The sequence below is a fragment of the Homo sapiens genome, chromosome 1 (genome assembly GCF_000001405.40).
Source record: "Homo sapiens chromosome 1, GRCh38.p14 Primary Assembly".
NCBI classification, from domain to species: domain Eukaryota; kingdom Metazoa; phylum Chordata; class Mammalia; order Primates; family Hominidae; genus Homo; species Homo sapiens.
The window spans coordinates 62,434,713-62,453,375 of NC_000001.11; the positions used below are offsets into that span (position 1 = coordinate 62,434,713).

The 18,663-nt window shown below is 40.5% G+C and overlaps 1 protein-coding gene across 3 annotated transcripts, besides 7 other annotated features; it reads left to right on the forward strand.

Moving 5' to 3' along the window:
- Window positions 804-1,571: an enhancer, noted in NCBI's record as "NANOG-H3K27ac-H3K4me1 hESC enhancer chr1:62901187-62901954 (GRCh37/hg19 assembly coordinates)". NCBI's record gives its function as "activates a minimal SCP1, AML or CMV promoter by ChIP-STARR-seq in naive H9 embryonic stem cells {active_cell/tissue: H9 hESC(naive)}" and the evidence as "EXISTENCE:reporter gene assay evidence [ECO:0000049][PMID:30033119]".
- Window positions 804-1,603: a biological region, named in NCBI's record as "NANOG-H3K27ac-H3K4me1 hESC enhancer GRCh37_chr1:62901187-62901954".
- Window positions 1,254-1,603: an enhancer, noted in NCBI's record as "active region_1116". NCBI's record gives its function as "activates an Ori minimal core promoter by ATAC-STARR-seq in GM12878 lymphoblastoid cells {active_cell/tissue: GM12878}" and the evidence as "EXISTENCE:reporter gene assay evidence [ECO:0000049][PMID:35858748]".
- Window positions 1,572-2,339: an enhancer, noted in NCBI's record as "NANOG-H3K27ac-H3K4me1 hESC enhancer chr1:62901955-62902722 (GRCh37/hg19 assembly coordinates)". NCBI's record gives its function as "activates a minimal SCP1, AML or CMV promoter by ChIP-STARR-seq in naive and primed H9 embryonic stem cells {active_cell/tissue: H9 hESC(naive and primed)}" and the evidence as "EXISTENCE:reporter gene assay evidence [ECO:0000049][PMID:30033119]".
- Window positions 1,683-17,092, forward strand: USP1 (ubiquitin specific peptidase 1). 3 transcript variants are annotated; one of them, NM_001017415.2, is made up of 9 exons: window positions 1,683-1,850; window positions 5,087-5,325; window positions 6,776-6,896; window positions 7,483-7,587; window positions 8,447-8,607; window positions 10,026-10,717; window positions 12,629-12,799; window positions 13,753-13,954; window positions 15,534-17,092. In NM_001017415.2, exons 2-9 carry the CDS (start codon window positions 5,156-5,158, stop codon window positions 16,267-16,269), a joined length of 2,358 nt encoding a protein of 785 aa, NP_001017415.1. In that variant the 5' UTR covers window positions 1,683-1,850; window positions 5,087-5,155; the 3' UTR covers window positions 16,270-17,092. The 3 variants fall into 3 exon arrangements, with proteins under 3 accessions (NP_001017415.1, NP_001017416.1, NP_003359.3); NM_001017416.2 differs by having other exon boundaries at window positions 1,683-1,755; NM_003368.5 differs by lacking the exon at window positions 1,683-1,850 and adding an exon at window positions 2,337-2,688.
- Window positions 2,164-2,233: an enhancer, noted in NCBI's record as "active region_1117". NCBI's record gives its function as "activates an Ori minimal core promoter by ATAC-STARR-seq in GM12878 lymphoblastoid cells {active_cell/tissue: GM12878}" and the evidence as "EXISTENCE:reporter gene assay evidence [ECO:0000049][PMID:35858748]".
- Window positions 2,934-2,993: a silencer, noted in NCBI's record as "silent region_945". NCBI's record gives its function as "represses an Ori minimal core promoter by ATAC-STARR-seq in GM12878 lymphoblastoid cells {active_cell/tissue: GM12878}" and the evidence as "EXISTENCE:reporter gene assay evidence [ECO:0000049][PMID:35858748]".
- Window positions 5,327-5,386: an enhancer, noted in NCBI's record as "active region_1118". NCBI's record gives its function as "activates an Ori minimal core promoter by ATAC-STARR-seq in GM12878 lymphoblastoid cells {active_cell/tissue: GM12878}" and the evidence as "EXISTENCE:reporter gene assay evidence [ECO:0000049][PMID:35858748]".

Here is an 18,663-nt window from a genome sequence, read left to right on the forward strand (position 1 = left end):
CTGGAGTGCAGTGGTGCATCTCGGCTCACTGCAGCCAGGGGATCCTCCTCCCTCATCCTCCCGAGTGGCTGGGACTACAGGCACGTGCCACCACGCACGGCCAATTTTTGGAGTTTTTTGTAGCGATGGGTCTTGCCATGTTGCCCAGGCTGATCTTGAACTCCTGGGTTCAAGCGGTCCACCGGCCCTGGCTACCCGACCTGTTTTTTCTTACATTATCATACAGCCAATCCATCAGTAGAGCTCGTTGGCTGTGCTCAAAATATATCTTGAACCCTACCAGTTTTCAACATCCCACCATCTTATTCCAGACTACCATAATTTATTCCTTGGCTTATTGAACCAGCATCTTGGCTGACCTTTCCGCTGGTACTTTTCTTTTTTTGAGACAGAGTTTTGCTCTGGTTGCCCAGGCTGGAGTGCAGTGAGGCGATCTCGGCTCACCGCAACCTCCGCCTCCTGGGTTCAAGCGATTCTCCTGCCTCAGCCTCCGGAGTAGCTGGGATTACAGGCCTGCGCCACCACGCCCGGCTAATTTTGTATTTTTAGTAGGGACGGGGTTTCTCCATGTTGGTCAGGCTGGTCTCGAATTCCCGACCTCAAGAGATCAGCCCGCCTTGGCCTCCCAACGTGCTGGGATTACAAGCGTGAGCCACCACGCCCGACCCTGCTTGTACTCTTGAAGGTCAACGTGTAATCCCGCCACTCCCCAGCTCAGAATCATCTAACGACTCCCATCTCCTTACTCGGCTTACCCAGGGTCCTGCCTTTCTCACTCATCTCATCTCCTCCCATCTTATTTCCCAAATTGACTGCGCTCTAAGCGCCCTGGCCTCCTTGCTTCTTTTCAAAACACCAACCACATTAAGCTTCAGGACGTTTGTAACTTGCTGTTCTCTCTGCCCGCACCATTCTTCCCTCAGATTCCTCCAAGCTTTTTCATTCAGCTCTGCTCAAATGTCAACTCAAAGAGGTCTTTCCAGGCTATCGTATCTATCACTTATCTTAGCGTCACTTGTATCTCCCTCTCCAGAATGTAATGCTCCTTTATGACAGGGAATGCCTTTACATCCCTCGCGCCTTGAAAAATGCCTGGCACATAGTAGGCACCTTAAAAATACTTGATTAAATGGATTTGGGCTGAACGTATCCTGCTTAACTGCAGCACTTGAGCTGAGGTCACCTCACCAAAGCAGGCACACAAACACAAAAGGAAGCACACAACCAGATGAGGCCTGCCTGCCGCTCCTGAACCCTTTGGGAGGGCTCGCGCGGGAACCCTGGGAAGCTCCCGCGGCCGGAGCTGGGCCTGAAACTGTTCTTTCGTTTCCTCCTGCGGCCGAGAAAGGGAAGAGGTAAACAGGCGAAAATGAGGCGAGCAGGGGCTGAGGACCGGGCCTCAGCTCTACAGCATTCGCCTGAGCATGTATTGTTATCCGTGGCAGCGCCTTGTCTCATTGGATGGCCCTAGGCCTAGTGTGGCCGCGACTCCGAACTGAAAGCCCAAGCGCGGCGGCGTCCAGCCGGGCAGCCATTTTCCGAAGCTGCTCTCTTGGTAACCCCGCCCGGGCGCGTACGCACGAACGGAGGCGGGGCTTACCGCGAGGGCCTCGCTCCGGAAGCCGCACCCTCCGCGGCGTCCCACCGTCGAGGATTAACAAAACGCCAAACAAGATTTTAACAGTCGGCAGCGAAAGCGCGCACTCGAGCGCCAATGAGAGCGGAAGGAGGGGCACCGCGCCTGAGGAACACTCCGTATGTCGAACAATGATTGGCTGGAGCCCACCTTTCTTCTTTTTTGCTATTAGATGGGCTTGCTGCTCCCGCCCATCTAATTGGCTTTGGTCTAGGTACTTCTGATTGGCTTCCCCCGGGCGGTGGGAGGCGCGGTTTTGGGGATTGTTCATCATGGATTGGTGAATTTGGGCTCCTTCTCGAGGTGGTGGCCCATCCCGTCTGCTCTCTGTCCCGTCTCCCGACCCGTACGCTTTTCCCTCAACTCGCGCGCACGAATGGTTAAAAAAAGGGTGTGAGGCTCGAGCCCGCCAGCCAGGCCGCTAGCACCTCGCGCGCGCCCTCAGCGAGGACCCGCACGAGCTGCCCGGCTCTGTGCCTGCGTTGTTTGAAACTGTGGAACCCGTTAGGCTTTTGGGGAACTACAGTCCCAGCTGGCTCCGGAGCCCGTGCGTGCCAGGGGCGAGTGGCCGTCGCGAGACGGCTCCTGCCTTTCGTGTCTCTGCAGCGTGGAGACTGGAACCGGCAATTTCAAAGGACGCCACGTTCAATCGCAGCGCTGGCGCGGGCGGAGGCTAAAACACGGGGGTCCTGAGACTGAGGAAAACGCGCCAAGTTCCCCTCGGTGGCGGAGTGCTAAAGACCCTAGCGGTTCAGGCGTTCGGCGAGCGGGGCCGCTGCTTGTTGCGCTCCTGGCTCTCCCGGGGCGGGCGCAGATGGGCGCCGCTCCCGGGATGTAGTTGGTGTTGGTGCAAGACGGGAGCGAGCGGCGGTCGGGGTTCCCGCTCTTGGGAGCGGATGGTCACTCCCCCGCGGGGAGGGCGAGCCGACCAGATTTTCCTGGGGCCGGGGACCCGGCGGGCTCGGGGCAGGGACTCACCTGTCGCACCCACACTCATTCGGGTTGGACTTGCCGGCGTCACCGCCGCGGACTTCGCTTTGGGCCATGACCAGGTAAGGAGGGCCTGGGAGGAGGGGCCGGCTCCCGGGCGCGGGGGCAAGTTCGGCCGGCGCGGGAGAGGAGCTGCCGGGGAGACCCCGGGACCGTGTTGGCCTCGCACCCTGGTCGACCTGCCAGGGGGAGCCGTGTGTGCCTCGGGCGTGGCGCCTGTCTTGCCGCCGCCGGGACGCGAGAAGGCAGGTGCGGGCTGGGCGTAAATAGGCCAACTCCGCGGCGAGGGCGCCCGGCGCGGGGGTGTGGGCCGAGGACGCCGCCGCCAGCCTCCCCCGACCGGGCAGCCTGGTCGCTGCTCGTCCTTCCAGCTTTCTTTCCGTTCCCGAGAGCGGTGAAGGATGGGGAGAAAGAAACGTTTCCACGCAGGTTGCCCTGTGTCGGTAATTGCGAAATTTTACCGCGCATTTTCTTTCACTTACACTTTTTCAAGAAGTGTTTAGAACGCCGCGTGTCTTAAACCTTGGCGAAGATGTCCTTGTAGATTTTTGTTGAAAAATCGGAATCGAGTCGTGTCATCTTATAAAGAATTTAAAACTATTGGGACTGAGTGTTCACGCTGTCAACAGATAATGGTCGATTCGTCGTGCTTTCTGCGAAAGTTGATTTAGTTACAGGAGAAATATTTTGGATGTAACAGCCCCCCAGTTACAAGGAAAGCCAGGAGCAAGAAATAGCAAGGAAGATACTGCACCTGGCAAAATGTTACATTCTCGGTGTGAGCTTTGCTTTGAGGGGCTAGGAGGTTTGGTTTTTTGATTAAGCTGACGATCCGCTATTTCACCTGCCTAATCATTCTTCCCTTCTGTGTAGTCTGGTTACTCTGTCGGTTTGAGATCCAGTTTCTGTCATCCATTAAATTGGCTCTCGAGAAAAACCTTTTATCAGAATCATTAATGCTTGGCGATCCCTGAGAACTTAGCGCAGGTTGGTTTATCATTCAGAAGACAGCGCTTCCTCAGAAGCATTAGGTAGACAGGAGAGTAAGTGAAGTTGGAGACAGAATGGAGAGATGGATCAGCTTTCCAGTGCTTCCTGATTTGGGTCTCAGAAATGGTTTCAGTGTGCTGAGTTCAGTATGAATTCCTAGATCAGTGTCAGCCATGTGAAATGCTTATTAAGGATGAAATTTGAGTGAGTCTTGTGTAGTTCATTTTATTACTCTGCATTTTAAATTTGAAACTCGTTGCTGAAGTTTTGGGCTTTAAGTAATTTTATGGTAATACTCTAGTCAGATAATTTTTCCTCCCATGTCCTGAAAAATAGGCCTGATGTAGAAAATATTAACTCCTACACTCCTACAAATGTTGCCATTTTTTTTCACGTGCAAGTTTTACTTTAAAACAGGGTGGGAAAGTTGCAAATGGCAAACCAAATCATCTTTTTTTCCTACTCAAAGCACTATTTTTAAAATCCAAAGTTTTTTAAAAAGTTTGGAAAACGAGTATTGTGGTTTCTAGTGCATTAAGAATTGGATTTACACAAAGTGCATCGAACAGTTTTTTTTATCACGGTCTCAACTTTGCTTGTGTTTTATCTTTCACTTACGGTTTTAGGTATAACTTAACACCATCTCTATGCCTTGAATGCAAATTATTCTTTAATAAGCTTTTTAGGTACTTTATTTTCATATATCCATGTTAATAACTAGAAAAGGCATTGGAAGAGAGGACTCATCGTCCAGCACTACTTTGATTTTCCATTCATCCTTTCCTACCTTGTACTTGAGAATTAGAGGTGGTAGTGCTCAGTCAATATTTTCTGAATGAATCATTATAATGAAATATTAAGTTGTTTTTTTTTTGAGACTAAGTCTTGCTCTATGGCCCAGGCTGGAGTGCAATGGCACGATCTCGGCTCACTGCAGCCTCCGCCTCCCGGATTCAAGGGATTCTCCTGTCTCAGCCTCCTGAGTAGCTGGGATTACAGGCGCCCGCCAGCACGCCCGGCTAATTTTTGTATTTTTAGTAGAGATGGGGTTTCACCATGTTGGTCAGGCTGGTCTCGAACTCCTGACCTCGTGATCCACTCGCTTCGGCCTCCCAAAGTGCTGGGATTACAGGCGTGAGCTATCGCTTCCGGCCCTTGAAATAATAAGTTTTTACTACTTATACTATTTTACTGTAGGTCTACTAAATAGGATATTTTGTAATGCGACCCTTAATCCATAGCAGGCTGATTTTAAAAATTCAGTAGCTTCTGTTTTTTGTTCTTTAAGAACAGTGTGGTATGCTTCTTCATTTAAGCAATAAATATTGAGTGCTTATTGGCAGGCATTAGGTTTTCAAATGTTAATTTCTAATTTGTACCATTCCCTTGGTAAATTTGTTTTCAAAATTGATGATTTTGTTGCCAAAACTGATAACCAAAAACTAATGAAACTTTCTCTGTGATTAACAGATATAATTGGTGATTACAACTTTCCTCTATAAATTAACTCTTGACACTCCTTGGGATTTGAAGAAAAAAATGCCTGGTGTCATACCTAGTGAAAGTAATGGACTTTCAAGAGGTAGCCCTTCAAAGAAAAACAGACTTTCCTTAAAGTTTTTTCAGAAAAAGGAAACTAAGAGAGCTTTGGATTTCACAGATTCTCAAGAAAATGAAGAAAAAGCTTCTGAATATAGAGCATCTGAAATGTATGTATCTTACATTTCTGTACTTTAAAAATTCTACAGTAAAGCAGCAGTGAACTTGGTTGACAACTCCAGTCTGACTTGATAGTCTGTAGCGGCACAAAAAAGTACGCTTCAGTGTACTTCTTAGTCAAATCTAGCAGTTTATAGTAGGAACAGCAAAACTGGTGGTTCCCCGTAGGAATCACATCGATAATGTTTAACTCATGTTAACACTGTGCTCAGCCATTTAGACTAACTTGGAGAAATATTTGTTGACTAAAATTGTCTTTCTGAGTTTAAATTTGATTATTTGTAGTGCAAAACATCTGTGTAGGGGTAAAAGGTTTTATATATATATATATATATATTTGTTTGGTTCAGAAGACTTGACAGTTATAAGACATTTTAAACTCTAGTCATGTAACTAGTCATACCTGTTGGAGGCATATGATTGCAAATTATAAAAATAAACTTTAAGTAATGCTTTTGATGCAAATAAATTATTTAGCTACAGAAAATAAATCAGAACAAAGTGGAATACTTTATTCCACCACCAGCAGCTCTAGCTGGAGTCTGTACTACTCCCTGTTTAACATATAGGCACTCTGCTGGGTGACTAAGGTGGATTTGGTCCCATGTGTTAATTTCCTAATAGCTATCAATAACCAGTTGAGGAGATTTGTGAGAGTGAAGCTTTTGTTTATCAGCATTCATACTTCTGAATACTTTGAGGTGCTAGAGTAATAATAGCTAGCAATCGTAAAATAAATGAAAATATTGGAAGGACCTAGTGGTTTTTTTGTTGTTGTTGTTAAAGAAGTAAAAGAATAGTAAACTTAAAGCATTTGTGTTTTGAGATGGGGTCTCCTTGTGTTGCCCAGGCTGGTCTTGAATTCCTGGGCTCGAGCAGTCCTCCCAAGTAGCTGGAATTACATGTCAATGCCCCCACACCCACATTCTGAACATTTTATTTTTAAGTGAGGGATAGCTACATATTTTTTTTTTTTTTACCAGCAGGAAGTCATATATAATTCTCTTCACAGACTTTCTTTCCTCTGAATTCTTATTAATAGAATCTTACTTAGTGCAGCCTCTCCCAAATATTGTCATGGTTAGTTTATTCCCAGGTTTCTGTTCAGTTAAACTATTTGATTAAAATGTCAAAGTAGATGAAACAAATCATAGTCTCTCAGTTCCTCAATTTTCTACTCTGTAAAATAGGATTAACATCCTTTTAAGGGAATTGTTCTGTGGCTTGTTATGTGTAATAATGTTTTTAAATGCTTTTAAAACTTTTATTCTGGGCATATAGCAATTTTTGAGCCTGTATTTCTTAAAATGTCATCTGAACAAGATTCACATACTTTTCAGATTATACAACTTTTGGGAAAAGACTAAATCTACAGAAGTAATATTTTCACCTTGTTTCTTTAAGATAACTACTTATCGTTCTCCCTTCTATATTTCATAGTGATCAAGTTGTTCCTGCAGCACAGTCTTCACCTATAAACTGTGAGAAGAGAGAAAACTTGTTACCATTTGTGGGACTGAATAATCTCGGCAATACTTGCTATCTTAATAGTATACTTCAGGTAAATTGACAATTTTGCTATATCATAAAGCTTTAGTAGGCAAAGATTGATGTAGCATTTAATGTTTTTGAGTTATTGGAGGACTTTAATGTCCATACTGTCTTTGCCTTTGATTGTTAATAAACCAGAATAGGCTAAAATAATAAGTTACATGTTATTAAACTTCCTTTGGGGTAAGAGAAAATGATAGACTAAATAAAGGTGGGATAGCAAAATTGAGTAGACCTTAAGTGGAAGGTCAAACCTTTAATTTCTTTCTCTGATTCCTGGTGCTACAGTGTGATATATGTCTTATCCCTTGGAAGTAACGTTGGCATTGTGTTGTGTGTCCGTTGGCGCTGTGTTGTGTGTCCTTGTAACCTTAAAGTCTTAGCAATATCTGCCCAGGTGCAGTGCTTTGTGCTAATGAGGGAAGACACTGGGCTACTACTGATGAAGTGGAGAACAAATTTTGACACAAAACTTAATCTCAGAATTTTAGGGTAATACATGTTAAAAGTGCTCTATAGAAAGCATGATGTTGTTTTAATGATTTTACGTGTATTGTTTGTTCAGTAAACACTTAAGACAATCTCACTTTTTATAGGTATTATATTTTTGTCCCGGTTTTAAATCTGGAGTAAAGCACTTATTTAATATTATTTCAAGGAAGAAAGAAGCTCTAAAGGATGAAGCCAATCAAAAAGACAAGGTAAGAAAAATAAAGAACAGAAAATAATGTAAAAAGCAAAAGTAAATTAATGGAAATTTACTTGCCTGGAAATGAAGAGGACTGGGGGGGTGGATGACAAAGATTATTTCTCTGTTAGCGAGCTATTGTCAGGCAATTATTTTTCATTCTTTCAAGGTGGCTAACTAGATAATTCCCTTTTACAATGTTTGCTCCTGTAATCTGTGTATCAAACTTTTGTTACTTGTATACTATATATTACTGTATACTATAATCACAATATGTTATACCCATGTACAACTTATTTACCCATTGTGTTTTCAAATTGAGTTAAAATTTAAATACAGTGTATTTAAAGAAATCTTTAACTTCCATAATTAAAAAACCATTGTAATTCACATAAATAGTAATTCATAATTCCTCTTAAAATTACAAAAAAGACCAGACGTGGTGGCTCATGCCTGTAATCCCAGCAGTTTGGGAGGTCAAGGTGGGTGGTGGATTGCTTGAGCGCAAGAGTTTGAGACCAGCCTGGGTAACATGGCAAGACCCTGTCTTTACTAAAAATACAAAAACTAGTAGGGCGTCATGGTGTGAGCCTGTAGTTCCAGCTAATTGGGAGGCTGAGGTGGAGGATTGCTTGAGCCCAGGAGGTTGAGGCTCCAGTGAGCCGCGATCAAGCCACTGCACTCCAGCCTGGGCGACAGAGACCCTGTCTCAAAATAAAAAAATAAAAAATAAGGCTTATTTGTACATCCCTTAAAATTAGTGCTATTATGCAACTTAGAAAATCTAGTATTCTTAAGTGAGACAAAGACAAAGGGGGAAGGTACTTAATTTGTTCATAAAATTATTGGTTTGTGTGTTTCTTTCTTGACAGGGAAATTGCAAAGAAGATTCTTTGGCAAGTTATGAATTGATATGCAGTTTACAGTCCTTAATCATTTCGGTTGAACAGCTCCAGGCTAGTTTTCTCTTAAATCCAGAGAAATATACTGATGAACTTGCCACTCAGCCAAGGCGACTGCTTAACACACTGAGGTATAGCCTATAATATAATTTTAGGGTTTCAATTTAGCTACTTGTTTATATCCTTGGAGGAGAATGACATGCGAAGAAACAGGAATAAAGGGCAAGGAAAGTAGAAACTCTAGGTCCACAGTCCTTTATATCCCAGAGACTCTGAATACTGGAAATTTTTTTCATAAATTTGGTGCTAAATTCGTTAGATCTGAACATATTATATGAGGCTTTTTATAGTCATTCATATTTATCTCTAACGTGAATATTCATACATGCTTCTATAGAAGTAGTAATGTGTTTAGTTATAGAGTACTCCCATATCAAGTCGGTGATAAATATTTTACTTATATGCCATATAATCATTGAATCTGAAAATGTCTGAATTTCTAAATGCGTGGTCCTAAGGATTTCACATTAAGAATTATAGGACTATATTCAAAATATGTGTAAGAACTGTAAATTCCAAATATTCTATTTTTATATGTGATTAGAGGAGAACTGTTGGCTAACTGGATTAGATTGCTTTTTGGTATTTTCTTAAAAATGAAACTTTACATATAAAATAGCCTTATTCAAATACAATTATAGGGCAAGTCTTTAAAACAATCACTTAAGCATTTAGTTTAAAAATAGAACTAGGTGCAATATATTGCTATACCTTAGTTAAGAGGTATTGTAGGCCGGTCACAGCTCACACTTGTAATCCCAGCACTTTGGGAGGTGAAGGTAGGTGGGTCATTTGAGGTCAGGAGTTCAAGACCAGTGTGGCCAACATGGTGAAACCCTGCCCCTACTAAAAATACAAAAATTAGCTGGGTGTGGTGGTTTGCACCTGTAGTCCCACCTACTCGGGAGACTGAGGCAGGAGAATCGCTTGAACCCGGGAGGCGGCGGTTGCAGTGAGCCAAGATTGCGCCATTGCAGTCCAGTCTGGGCAACAGATCAAGACCCTTGTCTCCAAAAAAAAAAAAAAAAAAAAGGCCATTGTAGCGTGGTGGCCAAGAGCGGGTTTGAATACTGGCTTTTCATCCTAAGTAGTTCTGTGACCTTGGGCAAGTTATTTAACCTGTCTGTGCCTTAGTGCTTGTATCTGTCAGTAATGGTGATAATAGTACCTCATAGGGTTATTGTGAAGATAATGTATACATAGGAGATAAAAAACATTTTGACTAAAACCTGGTGTATGGTAAGCATTATCTAAGTATTAGTTATTAATATATTTAGAAGAGGATCAAAGTATTATAATGAAAATAGGGTACAATTTACTCTTACTTTTAGTTACAGATAAGAAATTCCAAATTAGTGCTGAATAAATGTCTTGACATTTAAAAAATGAAATAATTTATGATTTTCCTTACATGAATTAATTTCTATATAGGCTTTATGTACTGTATCTTCAAAACTAGAATAGATGAAATGGAAATTTTTATTTATAGGGAACTCAACCCTATGTATGAAGGATATCTACAGCATGATGCACAGGAAGTATTACAATGTATTTTGGGAAACATTCAAGAAACATGCCAACTCCTAAAAAAAGAAGAAGTAAAAAATGTGGCAGAATTACCTACTAAGGTAGAAGAAATACCTCATCCGAAAGAGGAAATGAATGGTATTAACAGCATAGAGATGGACAGTATGAGGCATTCTGAAGACTTTAAAGAGAAACTCCCAAAAGGAAATGGGAAAAGAAAAAGTGACACTGAATTTGGTAACATGAAGAAAAAAGTTAAATTATCCAAGGAACACCAGTCATTGGAAGAGAACCAGAGACAAACTAGATCAAAAAGAAAAGCTACAAGTGATACATTAGAGAGTCCTCCTAAAATAATTCCCAAGTATATTTCTGAAAATGAGAGTCCAAGACCCTCACAAAAGAAATCAAGAGTTAAAATAAATTGGTTAAAGTCTGCAACTAAGCAACCCAGCATTCTTTCTAAATTTTGTAGTCTGGGAAAAATAACAACAAACCAAGGAGTCAAAGGACAATCTAAAGAAAATGAATGTGATCCTGAAGAGGACTTGGGGAAGTGTGAAAGTGATAACACAACTAATGGTTGTGGACTTGAATCTCCAGGAAATACTGTTACACCTGTAAATGTTAATGAAGTTAAACCCATAAACAAAGGTTAGTATAATTCTTAGACTTTGATAGGTAGAAGCATTAGCAGCTACAGAATTAGAATTTTCTCTTCCTAGATACATGTACAATATAATCTCTGGCTAAAATTGTTTCAAGAGAAGGAAATTTAACACTGAATGTGAACTATGGTGTTTTAAGTGCTATGCTTAGATTAGTGTGTGTGTATATATTGTATGCATATATATGTGTGTGTGTGTGTGTGTAATGTCATTAAAGTAATTTTAATTTATAGCTTATAAAGTAGGGAAGTTCGGCCAGGTATGTTAGCTCGCACCTGCAATCCCAGTACTTTGGGAGGCCTAGGCGGGCAGATCACCTGCGGTCAGGAGTTCAAGAGCAGCCTGGTCAACATGGTGAAACCCCGTCTCTACTAAAAATGCAAAAATTAGCCAGGCATGGTGGCGCACGCCTGTAGTCCCAGCTACTTGAGAGGCTGAGGCAGGAGAATCGCCTGAACCCGGGAGGTGGAGGTTGCAGTGAGCCAATATTATGCCACTGCACTCCAGCCTGGGGCGACAGAGCAAGACTCCGTCTCAAAAAAAAACAAATAATAATAAAGTAGGGAAGTTCAGTATATTTTAATGTACATTTAAGAGTACATTTCCCTTTATGCAGTGTTTGACATAAACTGATGAAGGACATTGCATTTAGTGAAATTTTAAAAGTAAAGACTAAGTACAGTCATGTGTTGCTTAACAACAGGGATATGTTCTGAGAAATGTGCTGTTTCATTGTGTGAATTTCACGGTGTACTTACACAACTAGATGCTAGAGCGTACTACACAACTAGCCTATATGGTATAGACCAGGGTATCTAATCTTTTGGCTTCCTTGGGCCACACTGGAAGAAGTGTCTTGGGCCACACCACACAGAATACACTAATGATAGCTGATGAGCCAAAAAAAAAAAAATCAAAAAAGTCTCATAATGTTTTAAGAAAGTTTATGAATTTGTTACGGGCTACAGGCAAGCTTTGCATGGCCTATTGCTCCTAGGCAACAAACCTGTATAGCATATAACTACTGAATACTGTAGGCAACTGTAGCACAATGGTATTTGTGTATCTAAGACGTATCTAAGCATAGATATGTAAACATAGGTACAGTAAAAATAATCATAGACTACTGTCATATGCGGTCCATTGTTAAATAATTGAAACGTTGGTAGGTGGTGCATAACTGTAAGTTACACGATACTTGAACTAGATTTTTACCTAGTTTTGTCCAGATCTACAGATATCAGGGAAAATGTGTAATATTGATATAGTGAATAGTTTTACCAAAAATGTCATCCTTATTCTGGGTTTATTCTATGGGGAGGTGTCTGTAGGAAGGGAGTTACAATACAACTGACTTTTTTTTATTTTTTATTTTTTTTATTTTTTTGGAGACAGAGTTTTGCTCTTGTTGCCCAGGCTAGAGTGCAATGGCATGATCTTGGCTCACTGCAACCTCCACCTCCCGGGTTCAAGCGATCCTCCTGCCTCAGCCTCCCGAGTAGCTGTGATTACAGGCATGCACCACCACACCCGGCTAATTTTGTATTTTTACTGGAGACAGGGTTTCTCCATGTTGGTCAGGCTGGTCTTGAACTCCGACCTCAGGTGATCTGCCCGCCTCAGCCTCCCAAAGTCTTGGGATTACAGGCTTAAGCCACTGTGCCCGGCCTACAACTGACTTCTTTTAAAGACAGTAATTTCATAGTCAGTTTTATCTTTACAGGGACCTTAAATTTCATTAATAGGGTACCTCTAATAAGCTAATAATGCTAATAAGCTGATCTATGAAAATGGAACTGTTATTCATGATATACTTTATTTAAATGGAAAATTGGTTATTTGGACTATAATGAGAAACTAATCTGTATAGACTTACATTTTCCTATTTTCATTTTAGGTGAAGAACAAATTGGTTTTGAGCTAGTGGAGAAATTATTTCAAGGTCAGCTGGTATTAAGGACGCGTTGCTTGGAATGTGAAAGTTTAACAGAAAGAAGAGAAGATTTTCAAGACATCAGTGTGCCAGTACAAGAAGATGAGCTTTCCAAAGTAGAGGAGAGTTCTGAAAGTAAGCAAAATTGGAGTCTTGTGTGGACCATGATGGAATATTTATAATTCTTTAACAACACAAAGTTTAATAGTAGCTGGTGTAATTAGGGAGGGGAAAAAAGCTAGCTTTTAGTGTCTAATGTAACCTTTCTGCTTATCTGGCTTCACTTATAAATGGTTAGCATTTGGGAAATTGTGACATCTTGATTTTGATGTAGAGTGTGTTAGAATGGAAAACTGAAATGCTTTAATAAGTGTACTTTTGGGAACCTGAGTCTTTCAGAGCTACTGAGGGTTTTTTTTAATTTTTTTGAGATGGAGTCTTGCTCGGTTGCCCAGGCTGGAGTGCAGTGGCGTGATCTCGGCTCACTGCAAGCTCCGCCTTCTGGGTTCATGCCATTCTCCTGCCTCAGCCTCCTGAGTAGCTGGGACTGCAGGTGCCCACCACCACGCCCGGCTAATTTTTTGTATTTTTAGTAGAGACGGGGTTTCACCATGTTAGCCAGGATGGTCTCAATCTCCTGACCTCGTGATCCGCCCGCCTTGGCCTCCCAAAGTGCTGGGATTACAGGCGTGAGCCACCGCGCCTGGCCTACTGAGGTTGTTTTTAACACAATAATTGAGCCACTGTTGTGTCTAGAGCATACCACAAAATATGGAAATACCATAGGAAATAATCATGAGACAGGTTTACCTATCACATATTGAAAGTTGGCAATTAAATGTAAACAGACTAGGCTTATTTTGTTTTTGCTGTCTATCATATTTTTTGGCCGATCAAATATATTTAAAAGGTATGTATACTGTTGAGGATGCACTTATGAAAGTAGTTTCTGAAAGTAAAAATCTCTTTAGTTATTTAGGAATGGGTCGGTCAATTGAAATTAAATGCTAATTTTGAACCTGAAACTTTGTGGTTTATTTTTTGAATGCCTGAGAGAAGTATTTGAGTGAAAGGATTCTCTTTTTTAGTTTCTCCAGAGCCAAAAACAGAAATGAAGACCCTGAGATGGGCAATTTCACAATTTGCTTCAGTAGAAAGGATTGTAGGAGAAGATAAATATTTCTGTGAAAACTGCCATCATTATACTGAAGCTGAACGAAGTCTTTTGTTTGACAAAATGCCTGAAGTTATAACTATTCATTTGAAGTGCTTTGCTGCTAGTGGTTTGGAGTAAGTATTGTAAATAAGAACTATATGAAGAAAATGAGCTGCTGTAGAAGATAAGTCTTGTTCAAAATGCTGTAATAGTAGGAATATAAAGTACTGAAATGAAGTAGATTGTAAAGATTGCTTCAGTAAAGTTTTGTTCTTATTAACAGTTTCCCTGTAAAAATGAAACAACTTAAATCCTTTTGATATGAATACATATTCTATTAAGTATGATTTCTTCTCCTTTTTTTTTTGAAACAGGGTCTCATTCCAGTTGTCCAGGCTGGAGTGTAGTGGCACAGCCTCAGCTCACTGCAGTCTTGACCTCCCAGGCTCAGGTGGTTCTCCCACCTCAGCCTTCTGAGTAGCTGGGACTACAGGTGCATGCCACCATGCCCAGCTAATTTTTTGTATTTTTAGTAGAGACAGGATTTCACCATGTTGCCCAGTCTGATCTTGAACTTCTGGACTCAAGCAATCCACCTGCCTTAGCCTCACAAAGTGCTGGGATTACAGGCGTGAGCCACCATGCCCGGCCAGTTTCTTTATTCATCTTTTCATATTCATTCCCTCTTAGATGTTAGTAGCAGAATTCAGTAGAACTGACTAAAGCAGGGAACAAATTTTGTATACATCAAGATTTTTTTGAAGGGGCGGGAAAGGCTAAATTCTTCCTAGTTTTAAGGTAAGCCAGGAAATCAAACTAGTCTTTCAACAGTTTGAAAAAAAATGCTGATTGTTTTGGATAGTCTGTTTTTTTCTGACATGTGTAATGTCATTGTATGTGTGACTCCTTTGTACATTAGTTGCTTGTTTGAAATTACCACGAGGGCTTCACAGTAGCTCTCTCACACTTGATTATGTCAAAAGATAACATATAGCCCCTTATTCAGTGGACCTTCCCTTTGCTAATAGTATAAAATACTATTTTATTTACTTTCCCAAATTTTGGTAGAGAAAAACTTCACACTAAAAATGACTAAAATGGGCTGGGCGTGGGTGGCTCACACCTGTAATCCTAGCACTTTGGGAGGCTGAGATGGATGGCTTGCACCCAGGAGTTCAAGACCAGCCTGGGCAACATGACAAAACCCTATCTCTACAAAAAATACACAAACTAGTTTGGCGTGGTGGCGGGCACTTGTGGTCCCAACTACTCAGGAGGCTGAGGAGGAGGAGCCTGAGGTGGGAGGATCACTTGAGTCCAGAAGGAGCCATGATTGCACCACTGCAGTCAGCCTGGGTGACAGACCCTGCCTTAAAAAAAAAAAAACCCAAAACGTAACATTTTTGGTTCCGGTTCAGTCTATTTAAAATACCATTTATTTTCTTAACTGCACAAAATTAGGAAAATAAAGGAAAAAATACAATTATTTCTTCCACAGAAATGCCTGAATATTAGCAGTTATTTATTTTTTTGTTTCTGCATATATTATAAATATTATTCAAAGTTGGGGTCTTGTTTTGATTCTGCTTTTCTGATATATGAACACTGGATATTAAGGGTTCATTCAGATTTTTACTTGGTTTCAGATTGGGGTATAACATTTTGAATTTAAAATAGAACTGCAGGAAACCTTTTCTTTTTTTCCTCCCAAAGGTTTGATTGTTATGGTGGTGGACTTTCCAAGATCAACACTCCTTTATTGACACCTCTTAAATTGTCACTAGAAGAATGGAGCACAAAGCCAACTAACGACAGCTATGGATTATTTGCGGTTGTGATGCATAGTGGCATTACAATTAGTAGTGGGCATTACACTGCTTCTGTTAAAGTCACTGACCTTAACAGTTTAGAACTAGATAAAGGAAATTTTGTGGTTGACCAAATGTGTGAAATAGGTAAGCCAGAACCATTGAATGAGGAGGAAGCAAGGGGTGTGGTTGAGAATTATAATGATGAAGAAGTGTCAATTAGAGTTGGTGGAAATACACAGCCAAGTAAAGTTTTGAACAAAAAAAATGTAGAAGCTATTGGACTTCTTGGAGGACAAAAGAGCAAAGCAGATTATGAGCTATACAACAAAGCCTCTAATCCTGATAAGGTTGCTAGTACAGCGTTTGCTGAAAATAGAAATTCTGAGACTAGTGATACTACTGGGACCCATGAATCTGATAGAAACAAGGAATCCAGTGACCAAACAGGCATTAATATTAGTGGATTTGAGAACAAAATTTCATACGTAGTGCAAAGCTTAAAGGAGTATGAGGGGAAGTGGTTGCTTTTTGATGATTCTGAAGTCAAAGTTACTGAAGAGAAGGACTTTCTGAATTCTCTTTCCCCTTCTACATCTCCTACTTCTACTCCTTACTTGCTATTTTATAAGAAATTATAGAGTGAGTGTATTTTCCTTGTGTATATATTAAACACACCCATACAAACATTGGTAAAGTTGATTACATCAAAGAATCTTTAGCTTATCTTTTGAAGCTACTGGATATTATTGGTCTCTCTAGGTTTTTATATAAATAGTGAAATTTGAATTACTGAAAACCATGTTAATTTTTAGAACTCATTTTCCTCAGTAGAGACTAGTGATGCATTAGCTTCTGGGAACAAACTTGTATCGGTTCTTAATTAAATTATCCAAAACGGAGGCATTTAAACACTTGGATTTACACCAGTCTTTTGTGTTTGCTTTTTAAAATAAAGTGCTCGTATTTGTATTCTCCATATTTTGGAGTAATTATCTACATGATGTTTATAGTTCCTGTGGTTTTTCACCCAAGAAGCAGAATCTCATTCAGTACATTTAGTTTTATAAGAGTCATGAAGCTAAATCCTTGGGCTATGTCAGAGGCACAAAGTCTAGAATGTGTGTATTCACAATGGTGTATGTACATTTTGTGCCTTGATTCACTTAGAAGTGTCTCAGAAAACCTGGACAGTTCGCTTCTACACAAGAATTTTATATGTATTTATGAAGATGATTCTGTACCCTAGTATATCTTTTTGGGCATGGACTAATTTGTATCTGTTTAACTCATATTCTGCACGATCTGTATATAGTACATCAAACTTAGAGGTGTGACCTTAAATTTAACTTTTTTTAAAAACTGGGAGGTCAATAAAATTTAAACTGCTTAACTATGTATATGAATATTTGAATTTTTTACTTGTATATTTTTATAAATACAGCTGAGTTTTCTTAAAGCGAATAAGTGTGTGTATATATATATGTATATATATGAGAGAATAAGCATGCATAATTACCTTTATTACTGAATACTTTCTGACAGTGCAGGAGTTTTTCAAAGAGGAGAAATTGTGCTTAGTCCAGCCAAGCTGTCATACTTAAAAGAGGTTTATAATGAAATCTGTTGCATCTAATTGTCCTTTAAAGTAGACATGATTTAATGGAATCCAAAACTGGAAAAGTTAAGATGATGCTTTGGGCACACATAAAAACTTGGTTAAAATTTCATTTTAAACTAGTATACTGAAGTGGTAAGTGATGAATGATTTCATGACTTGTTAATGGACATTCTTGGTACTAAGTTTTTCCTAGAAATGATTCTAAATATGTAAATGCTATTGGGGTAACACTTTAATACCCCATTTCAACAAGGAGTACCTTCTCAATTAAAAAAAAATCGCAGTAGGCTGGGCGCGGTGGCTCACGCCTGTAATCCCAGCACATTGGGAGGCTGAGGCTGGTGGATCACGAGGTCAGGAGATCGAGATCATCCTGGCTAACACATGAAATCCCGTCTCTACTAAAAATACAAAAAATTAGCCGGGCGTGGTGGCAGGCATCTGTAGTCCCAGCTACTCAGGAGGCGGAGGCAGGAGAATGGCATGAACCCAGGAGGCGGAGCTTGCAGTGAGCCGAGATTGCGCCACTGCACTCCAGCCTGGGCAACAGAGTGAGACTCCGTCTCAAAAAAAAAAAAACACAGTTACATAATGTCTTATATTCTTTCATAGGATGATGAGATGGTAATAAAGTCATGGTTCTCCCCACCTTTCAGAATCACTAATGGAAATCCTTAAACAGTCCTGAGCGCTACCTGTAAGTTTTGAATGGAATGGGTCTAAGATAGACACTGGGCCTCTTAATACTCGAGAGACAGCCAGTTCTAAGAACTAACACAAATTCCTGATGTGAGAAAGTTCCATTTTAAGAAAAATGAAGTTTGTAAGAGGTTTGTATCATACGAATGTTTAAGAGGAAGCCTCTGTTCTGAAGGATGTCAGAAAATAATTGGTTTTGCATAATTATATAAATCATAAAGTCCTTGATATTACTGAGATTTCTGAGATTTTTGTCCAAACTGTTATATAAATGTAACCTAATGAGAAGTGACCCTTCAGTGGTTCCTTATTCTCTCCCTTATGTTTATACCCACCACTGACCCCCAAAGAAGAAGGGAAAATGTCACTTTTTTTGGAGGGGAGGGATTTCCATTCTTGACTCCTTACCTTTCCTTATTGTTCATTTGGCTCCTCAAATAGAGTTTTGAGGTTATGCCCTTCTGACTCAGATTTGGTCTAACAATGTAGACTCATCTGAAAAATGTTTTTGTGATTCAGTCTTTGAATTGATATAGATAAGAGGAATTTGAGATGATACTGCCCATTAAAGTACATGGAGTGTGGGATATCAACCATCACTTAGGCTCTCAGAAGTAGATATTTTTTAGTATATTTTGAATATTTACTACATTGACTATAGAATGAAGGCAATACGTTAAATCTGACCAGTTTTTGTTTTTTTTTTTTGAAACGG

What these genes read in the sequence shown, in the direction of transcription:
- USP1 (NM_001017415.2), top strand. Translation starts at nt 5,156, where the DNA reads ATGCCTGGTGTCATACCTAGTGAAAGTAATGGACTTTCAAGAGGTAGC. An exon ending in CGACTGCTTAACACACTGAG is followed by an intron (nt 8,608 to 10,025) that starts GTATAGCCTATA and finishes TTTTATTTATAG; the next exon opens with GGAACTCAACCCTATGTATG. An exon ending in AGTTAAACCCATAAACAAAG is followed by an intron (nt 10,718 to 12,628) that starts GTTAGTATAATT and finishes TTTTCATTTTAG; the next exon opens with GTGAAGAACAAATTGGTTTT.